The 10,327-nt window shown below is 46.3% G+C and overlaps 1 long non-coding RNA gene across 1 annotated transcript; it reads right to left on the minus strand.

Annotated features, from left to right (window-relative positions):
* Nucleotides 1–2,773: 2,773 nt before the first annotated feature.
* Nucleotides 2,774–9,445, minus strand: LOC340090 (uncharacterized). The gene is made up of 3 exons (NR_134291.1): nucleotides 9,302–9,445; nucleotides 6,573–6,743; nucleotides 2,774–4,817 (listed from the first exon to the last, which is right to left on the minus strand). It is a non-coding gene; the product is annotated as an uncharacterized LOC340090 (long non-coding RNA).
* Nucleotides 9,446–10,327: the final 882 nt, after the last annotated feature.

Genomic DNA, 10,327 nt, shown 5'->3' on the forward strand with positions numbered 1-10,327 from the left:
TTGCCCTCGGTAAAGTGTCAATGTCCACATCTGTGAAATGAAATTGATGCTACTGTTTATGGCATAGGTTTATTGGGAGAATCAAAGGATATAATGCCTGGGACATAATTAGCACGTGATATGGGCAGTCCTGTTTATATCTCCCCTCCCTGTGATCTAGGACTAAAGACTCTCTTAGTAAATTCTCCCATGGTTTCCCATGGCAGTTCTGGCCAACTTCAGCTCTGTTCAACTCCAAGGATGCCGGGAAAGCCCTATTTTCCAGGAGTTTTCCTTCCAAAGTGTCCTCACTTGATGGAAATTTCTTAACTCCAAAAAGAGCTCTTGGGGCCAGGCACAATAGCTCACACCTGTAATCTCAGCACTTTGGGAGGCTCAAGCAGGTGGATCACTTGAGGCCAGGAGTGTGAGACCAGCCTGGCCAACATGGCGAAACCCCATCTCTACTAAAAATACAAAAATTAGTCAGGCATGGTGGTGAGCGCCTGTAACCCCAGCTACTCAGGAGGCTGAGGCCGAGAATTGCTTGAACCTGGGAGGTGGAGGTTGCAGAGAGCCAAGATCACACCACTGTACTCTAGCCTGAGCAACACAGCGAGACTCTGTCTCAAAAACCAAAAACTAACCAAACAAAAAAACCTTACCAGTTTTCACACAGGTACACACAGGTAGTAAGTAATAGAGCTGGATTTAAATACAGGCAATCTCCTTATAAAATCAGCATGATGTGGGGGTGGACAGAGGGAGGTGGCATTAAGCAGTTTAAAATTTGACTTGATAAGGCTGGGGATACCATGCTTAGCCTGTGGTGAAAGTATAGAAAGGATGAAACTAGTTCTGGAGGGTTCTTGCTTTCTAGGGCAATAGCCATCCTTGAAATTATTCTAACATTTGATCACTTGTCTTAGTGTGCCACTTCAAGTCACCTCTCACTTTTTCTCCCATTGTTCCTGCAGGTAGATCATGTCCTGTTTCAGTAGGGATGATATACCTGTGCCAATTCACCTGTGCTATTTAGAACAGACACTTTCTGCCAAGTGTACCACCCCACACCTTGCCAGACTGCTCCACCCAAAAAGCAGGGCCTGGGGTGGGTGACCCACATAAGGTGGCGACTCCTAAACCTAATAATAACTCCTACCCTGTGGGGTCAACTATTTTGTGTTTGTTCATGGCCCCAAGCCCCACCCCATAAATTTGACATCACTTTTTCCATAGCAAATAGTAATCTTCAAATGGAATAAGGCAGGAGCTGCGAGTCCCACAAGAGGCAGCCAGATGAGACCAACATGTTCCTTAAACAATGGACACAGTGGTGTGGTGCACTGCAAGCCTGTGTCTTATGTTCCAGGTGACTTCCATGTCTCAACCCGTGGTTCCTCCACTAACAAGGAATGAGAAAAACTTGCCACTATGGAAACGTGGCAATATGCCACAATATCACATGTCCTAAGAGAGTAGGTATTTATATAGATAGACGTAACTCTCATTGTAAAGTTAAGATGTATTAATGCAACCCTGCATCTGGAGCACGTGCTCATCCTCAACATTTCAAAGTAAGTATTTGGACTTCAGTTCTCTTTGGAATTTACAATAGACTCTGGAGTGTTGCTCTCATTTGTTGTAGGCAGTTCTCACTGAGTGCCCAGGATCAGTTTCCTGGGCCACCTACATGTGCATTGAGATGCTGAATACAAGCTCCTTAAGGTCAGGGCCCTGTATTGTAACAAGTGCATAGGGTCTTACACATAGTAGGTGGCTATGTGTATAGATGAACAGGATGACATAGTGCTACTTAAGAGAGAATGGAATCCACAGGATAGGTTCTATCTAAACACATTTAAGGGCATTCTGTTCCTGGAAGTCCTAAAAGGATATTAACGCATCCTTGACTTCACATCTCAAAGTGTGATCTCCTGACCAGCAGCAGGACATCACCAGGAGCCTGTTAGAAATGCAGAATCTGCCTCCACTCCAGGCCTTTTGAGTCAGTGCCTTCATTTGAACAAGATCTCCAGGTTGGCTGGGCATGGGGCTGTAATCCCAACACTGTGGGAGGCCGAGAGGGGTGGATCATTTGAGGTCAGGAGTTCGAGACCAGCCTGGCCAACATGGTGAAACCCTGTCTCTACTAAAAGTACAAAAATTAGCCGGGCGTGGTGGCACGCACCTGTAATCACAGCTGCTCAGGAGGCTGAGGCAGGAGAATTGCTTGAACCTGGGAGGCAGATGTTGCAGTGAGCCAAGATCACGCCACTGCACTCCAGCCTGGGCAACAGAGCAAGACTCCATCTCAACAAAACAATAAAAAAAAAAGATCTCCAGGTCATCTGTTTGCACGTCAACATTTGAGAAACGCTGGTTGGTCTATGACAACACTGTCATGTGGATGGCTGAGAGCAGTGTTCAAATAACGTTCTGGGGGTGTGTGAGAGGGAAGGAGAGAAAGAGAGAGAGAGAGCAAGAGAGAGAGAGGTGTCACTATTAATAGCTAACATGTGTTGCGTGCTTCCCATGCGGCAGGTGTCTCGCATACACTATCCCGTTGAATCCTCACAGGGAGCCTGAGAGGCAGGTATTACCACTGTTCCATGTGACTAGCTAGCAAGCTGTGGAGACAGAATCAAACCTTCAGATTACGTCCTCTTAGCCATTATGTCATATATACTAGAAGCTGTAGAAATTAATGAAGTTCCCTATTTCTGTAATACCTTGAGAGAATTCTAACTTACAGTCAGATATTGCTTCATACCTGAACCATCTTACACACTGATGAGATTCAGAGCAACCTTTATTCCTTATCCTCTAAAAAAAGTCATAGGAGTAATATATGCTTACTGTAGAACAATTAGAAAACGCAAATGAGCACAAAGAAGGAAAAAAAAACCACCCTATAATGACAAAATAGCTAAAATTTTGTTATATGTTCCTCCTTCCATCATTCTATATATATAATATGAGTGTCTGTATGTGTGTGTATATATTCACTTATACTTTTAACAAAAAAGGAATCATAGTAGCCATACTATTTTGTGACTCCTCTATTTCAAACTGCCTTTAGAATTTTAGGTTTCTCTGGTCTAAAACTTCTCCTCTTCTCTGAACCTGTTTTAATTCCCACCTATCCTTGAAGGCTTAGCCCCAGGTACACCTCCTCCCAGGAGCCTCTCCTGATCACCCAGCCCACGGGTGCCTGGTGTTGGTGGCCACCTCTGCCTGAGTGTTGGTATAACCCACATTCCCCAGCCGCAACACTCAGAACAGGGTCTGAACAATGTTCACAGGACATTGGTCTCAGCCTCCAGCTCCTGCTCAAGGAAATGCAGCAGCCACAGACAGTTCCTTCCTTTAGGTTCAAGGGCTCTTTGGGGTGGCTCATGCATGTGTGCCCTATCTGTCCTCTGCTCTGATCCAATGTCTCTGCCCTCCCCATGTGGGCTGCTCCCTGCACTTACCTAAGACCACTGTGTCAACCCACCTTGTACCGGCTACAGCCAAATGCTCTGCTGCCAACCAGGGTGAACTAGAATGAACAAATGAAACTGGCAATATTCTACTGTTTGTGACCTATCGCATTGGCAATTTCATGATGTTCACACTCTACCTCCTCTCATGCACTGGGATGTGACCACTCCTCGGTTTAGCTCTGACAGTTGTTCCAGTCAATTGGAGGAAAGACTCTGTCCTCATCTGCCTTAAAACTCCACCATTAGGGCACAAAGCAGAGCAAGCTCTCCTCTTGGTTTCCTTCAAGCTTCTGAAAGAGTAGGTCTTTCGTGGACTTTCTTTCCATTGTTAGCACCTTCTCCTTTAGAAGCACAGCTAGTGGCCCTGGATGGGCTGGACAATCTGAGTCACCTGTTCTGGGCAGACTCAGAATGGTGCCTCTTCATTGACTGCTCACCTGTGTCCCTGGACTGGATTGGTTACCAAAGGGCCCCAACCTTATCTGGCCACTCCTTGGGAGGTTAGGAGTGCCCATGCTTCCCTGCCTTTAGGGGATGGTTTTAGGCCTCATTACCATCTTCCATGAGGCTGCTACCCCCAAGCTCCCTTCATGTCTAAACATCCCACATTTCTCAGTGAGTGTCAGGATGTACCCTTGCTTGGGGCCCTTGCTGTAATGAGCTTTCTAGGTAGCACGAGTGGGATTATACTGCTGGACTCAGCCTGGTTTTGAATTCTGCCTCCAACGCTTGCTAGCCAGAGTGAATTTCTTTGGCTTTTCAGTGTTGTATTTTTCTCATCTGTTAAAAGGGGATAATAGGAATGCCCACTTCCAAGGGTCATTTTGAGGATTAAACAGAATCATCCATGAGAGATGCTTAGAACAGTGACTGGTACACAGAAAACACTTAACAATATCTTCCTGCTGCTGTTAACTGTTGCTGTGGTAAGTTCCTTGAAGGCACCCACAGCAGCTCCCTTCTCTCAGCCCTTTGCTCTGTGCCTGAACACATACTTACTGCGTGAGGGGTGAGCGATGAACAATACCTCTAAGAAAATAGAGGCAGTGATCCCTGTGTTAGTTATAGAGAAAGAAGACTGCAGTTGAGGGAGGGGAAGTGAGCGTGTGGGGAAATAGAGTCCGTGTTGGGGAGAGGCTGCGCCCCAGTCTCTTAGCCCCTGGTCACATCTGTAAACGCCAAACCCCGCACTCCCCGGGTGCACTTGCAGGCAGCAGGCCCACACACTCAGGCACCTGTAGGGCACTTCTGGAAGCCTCAGGCTGGAGCAGCGTGAGTTTCAGAACGTTGAGAAAAAGTGGCTTCACTCCATAAAGGGATCTTTTCAAGCCCCAAGAACCTGGGAACAAACTGCAGAGAAATTACAAAGGTCAGGATCTGACAGCCTCAAAAGCAAATTATTCAGTCCCAAATACATACAAAGACTCCAGAGTGATTTATAACTTCTGAAGATCTATGCAAATGAAAGGCCAAGGAACATGAGGGGGCTGCATCTGCAGAGAGAAACACTCCAAGCTATCAGCACTAGGTGAGGGCTGGTTGCTTCGAGGTAGCCGGGGACACTGTGATGCATATATTAGTGCTCAGGGCTCTCTTGCACTTTGGAGCCCTCTCCATTGGAATTCACCCAGAAATATCCCCCTGAGCAGCTTTGTTTCATTTCAGCTACCCCTTCTATGTGCCACCGTGGTTTTCATATTTAGCTTTATATTAATACATATTAAGTTTATATTTGGTTCTATTTTCATGAAAACGATGTTTGTAACCAACCCCTTCATCAAAGGAGTATTACAGAGATAGGACAGCACGAGCAAACATGAGGTGGTCATGATGCATGTAGCAGTGTAGTGGGCTTGGCTGTGGTTAACCTTCTCATCAATTGCTCAAGCTTGCTTAGTGAGGATTTCCCCTAAAGGTATAAGGCTCTTGAAACTTCTGCCACATGGGGATGGCGGAGGCATAAATTTTAGCAGGACTATCCACACAATTTGCACATAAGTGCAAAACGAACATGTAGGGTTCCTTGTTCAAAAGTTATTAAGAGTTTCAAGGTGGTGACAGCAGACCAGTAAACCACTGTGGGCTATTTTAAGTGTGGGGCTCTGTATGATGGCACAGGTCTCGTGACCATGTAGTCAACCACATCCTTGAAGGCACAATATAAAATTTAAGAAATGTGACATTCCTTTAGTTCCCCGAAACAAAATTTAGCCTCCAAAAAATCAGAGTACTGCTTTTCCCAATCCGGGGAGCCTGTGAGAATTCTGGGCTTGTGTGAGGCTAGAACATGGGAGGGAAAGGGGCACAGCCTTTGGCCTTGGGGTTGCTGCCTTTACCATTGTGCTTTTGGCGGACCCCAGGCCTCCCTGCCTGTCTGTCAGGCACTGCTAGGAGGCTCAGGGAGGCCCTCACAGCTCTCCTCCCCTCACTGACTCCAGGCTTGGCATCTACTAGCTGCCAAATCTCAACTTCCTCATATTCCCTGGCCCTCTGTTCCCCTCTCTAAGTCTGGGAGAAGTCAGAACCCTCTCTCAGGATCGGGCTACTCCCTCATCTCAAGGCATGTTCCCTCCCGCTCCCTTCCATGATATTTCCACATTAAACCCTCACAGACTTTAGGAAGTCACAGCCTTCAGGAGGACACTGCTGCCCTCTTTCCTGAGGTGGGGGAAAGCAGATGCCCACCTCAGTAGGGCAGATTTTTTTCTATTCTTGCCCCTTTTGGCATCATCAAGGTTGTGGTGGGACCTGGGCCTCATGGCTCCTGAGTCTTCCAATCCCTTTCACCCTTTGCATCCCACAAAGGACTGGGTGGGGAGCCCAGAAGGAGATGGGCAGTGGGAAGGAGGTAAAGAATGCAGAGTAAGACAGAGACCTTGCCGAATTGACTCTCTGGCTCTCATTGCTGTGACCTGAATTTCCTTGTCTGTGCAATGATCAGTAGCAGTTGCCTCCCATGGTGACTGGGATGAGGAAATCAGACTGAGAATGTAGGGGGTTGGCAAACTGCCTATACCAAAAAAGGAAACCTAGGGGACAAAGAGAGGTGAGTATATCAGGGTAGGCCAAGTTTTGCTGCAGTAACAAATAACTCTTCAATCTCACTTTGTTTTCATTCTCTTCAATCTCACTTTGTTTTCATTCATGCAGTCCACTGCGATCCAGGTGACTGTCCAGGCAGCTGTCCTCCAGGTAGTGACTTAGCCTGTGTTCATCCTGTGACTCCACCATCTCCATGCAAGTCCTCCATGTTAGCTGCAGCAGGGGAGGAGGAACCTGGAAAACCACACAGGGGTTTTCACTGTCTCAGTCCAGAAGCAATGTGTGACATTTCCATCCACATTACTGAACAGAACTAGCCACATGACTCTGCCTAGCTACAAGGGATCTGAGAAGTCGATGCTAGTGCACACCCAGGAAGCAGGAAAGATGAGGATATTGCTAAACACTAGTCATGCCTCCTGCAGGGAGGAACCTAAATGAATTGCTCTTGTCAGCCTAGGCTGTCAGGGTTTAAGACACTCTCCCCATGTTCAACTCTGAGAAGTTCTACCTTGACTTCCTTGTTCTGAGCTGGTTTTTCTCACTTCTAAGATGAGGAACTGTTCCTACATTTGATACAGAGTGGATTTTCCTTGAAATGGCCATATATGCAAAGCAACCCCCAAATGCTGAAGGAGCCAAGAAACTCAAGAATGAGGCAGACAACCATAAGACTGAGATAGATCTCCGCACTGCAACTGCCCACAGACCCAGGGCTTTTATCTTGGTGAAAGTATGTGCACTCTGGAAGAATACATAGGTGGCTACAGGCATCACATCCTATGATTTCTGCAACAGCACCAAGGATTGTTTTGGAGGAAACTTGAGAGTGAATAGATGTTCCTACATAAAGAGTAATACAACTTGACATTTTGGAGGCATTCCCGGAGTCGGGGTTAGTCAGGCGGATTAGCATTTAAAATAAAGTAACTCTTGTCCCCACAGTGGACATCCAAGGAAATGTAATGAAAAAATATCATTTGAGTCCTTTCTGAGAAACACAGGGGAGACACACCAGGGAAGTTACATGGGCCTTGAGGCGATTGTCACTTATACACCAGGTGATGGCTTTATTTGCTTTGAAACTCCCACAAACCAGAAAGAAAAATCTGTTGACATTTGGGCCTATGTTGAGATCTAATCAGTTATAATTCCCAGAGCTCAGAGCCCCTGTGCTCCACCAAACGAAGGGCATTTCTTGAGTTCTGGAATGATAGACACAATGCTGGAGTGCTTAAGAGCGAGAACCCGGGAATCAGATGGGCTGGATCTCAAACTTGGTTCTGCTGTCTACTGGCTCAGTGACTTTAGGCATTATACTCTTGCTTCACTTCCCTCATCTCTACATAGTATAATAGTCTATCTTCTTCAAAGTGTTGCTTTGGCATTAAATCTGTTAATGTATATAGTTTAGAACAGGACCTGACAAGCCAGAAACACTCAGTGTTGCTACCACAGTGATTATAGCAGACTCCAGCACATATCCCATTTCTGAGCAAAACTTACAAGAGAAGAGAATTGAAGATGACAGCATCATTTTTTTTTTTTTGAGTTGTTCTGGACGAGACAGGATGGAGTTTGGTTCTTTTTACCAGTCAATACAAAAACATATAATTAAAACACCATACTTGTGAGGACTAAGGAAGTTCCGTGCAAAACGGAGAATGAAATCCAGCAGTGAAGTTTTGTCAATTAAAATAACAGCGTTTTTAAATGAGAATAGAGCTAAATGTACCTTTATATTGCTATTGTTCTTCAAAAGTGGTCATATGTAGCTTTGTCTCAACATGGGAAATCAGACATGCAGCATGTTTTCAATTGTTTTTTTAAAATGGGTTATAGGATCTCACAATAATTTCCGAGTCTGTTTAGTAAGCTCATTTTTATGCAAAGAAATTATATTTGGGGCTGGGCGTGGTGGCTCACGCCTGTAATTCCAGCAATTTGGGAGGCTGAGGCGGGCAGATCACTTGAAGCCAGGAGTTTGAGACCAGCCTGGCCAACATGGTGAAATCCTTTCTCTACTAAAAATACAAAATTAGCTGGGCATGGTGGCGTGAACCTGTAGTCCCAGCTACTCGGGAGGCTGAGGCACAAGAATCTCTTGAATCCAGGAGGCGGAGGTTGCAGTGAGCCGAGATGGTGCCATTGCACTCCAGCTTGGGCAAAAAGAATGAAACTCCGTCTCAAAAATATATATATATATATTATATTTGGAAACAGAAAACCATCTTATTTACCTAAGAAATCATTTCACGATACCAGATCGTGGTGATGTGCATTTCTGAAACTCATAGCAAACTGGACCACTATGGGAAATAGATATCTGATTCCACTCTTCCTTCTAATTCCACATAAACCTCTTTCTATGTTAATTCCTGCTATTCCTGAAAAGTAAAGGTCCATTCCAGCCAGCACATTTCATATTTCTGCCCACACCTAACATTCACATTACAGATTCACTCTTGGCCTTGTCTTCTTATGATTGACTTTCACCTGCATATATCTGCAACTTGCCCTCGAGTTGCTGAAATCCCTTCCCAATTTCAAGAATCTAAGTCTCACATTATGATGCCATGTCCTGGGACAAGAGCAAAAAGATCAGGACCTCCCTAGCTGAAAAAAGCAGGTGCTTCTCAGAACCTGCACCCTCTTCAGAGAGAATACGGTGGCAGGCGCGCAGGGGACCCTGCCCGCAGCACCCATCTTTTAGGGAGCTACTAGGGCGTTCGGCAGGAAGCACAGTTGAGACGACCCACGCAGCGAGGCAGGACTCACGCCGAGTTTGTTACCTTTGCCCATCAGACCTGGTGGATTCTTTTGGTTCTGCAGGTGGAGCCACCAATGCCCAGACACCCTGCTGCAAAGTCAGGGTCCCTCTCGGCCTCGTCTTTCCCTCTCCCGTACCCCTAGGGCTGGATAGTCCTCGTCTGCAGAAGTTCGCCCTTTGCTGGCCCCTGTCCAGGCTCTCCTCTCGCTGGCCCACGTGATCCTTTCCTGCCAGTCTCCCCTGGCTCCAGCTTCCTCCACGCCCAGGGCTCTGCCCTCCGCCGGGCCGACTTCCCGCGAAACTGCAGCGGCTCCCCCTACAGGACAAAGGAGGAAACGCTAGCGGGGCCCCAGAGCCCTCTCCAATGGGACCCAAAGGGACACATCCCGGCACAGACCCTCCCCACTCTAAGGCAGAGCCTTTCGCAGGGCCTATCACAGGGCGGAGGGAGGGAGGGAGGGCGGCAGGAGGACTGCTGGCCTGAAACTCTGCTTTCACAAAGAGGTTACACTTCGAAGTTAGACCTCATCTGCAAATGAGGTTATGGACACGGTCCCATAGAAGCTGACAGAGGTTGCAACTTTATCTCTGGCCCTGTTACTGGACTACATTGCTTGTGGGGAACTGAGTTAATATTTTTTGTAAATTCTGTAATATTTTTTCTGAACAGAACAATTATATAGCATGTTTTGTGTTTCAATAATTTAATTGTTCAACGTAAACATATTTTTTAAAGACTACAGGTGGGCGTGGTGACTCACATCTGTAATCCCAGTACTTTGGGAGGTTGAGGCCAGTGGATCGCTTTTAACCCAGGAGTTTGAGACCATCCTGGCCAACATGATTTCCACTCCGTCTCTACCAAAAATACAAAAATTAGTCAGGGGGCTGAGGCAGAAGAATCACTTGAACCTGGACGGTGGAGGTTGCAGTGAACGGAGATCACACCACTGCACTCCACCTGGGTGACAGAGCAAGACTCAAAAAAAAAAAAAAAAAAAAAGAATAAATTAAAATAAAAAGGCTACAAAACTTTTCACCCCGTTTG

The sequence above is a fragment of the Homo sapiens genome, chromosome 5 (assembly GCF_000001405.40).
Source record: "Homo sapiens chromosome 5, GRCh38.p14 Primary Assembly".
NCBI lineage: Eukaryota > Metazoa > Chordata > Mammalia > Primates > Hominidae > Homo > Homo sapiens.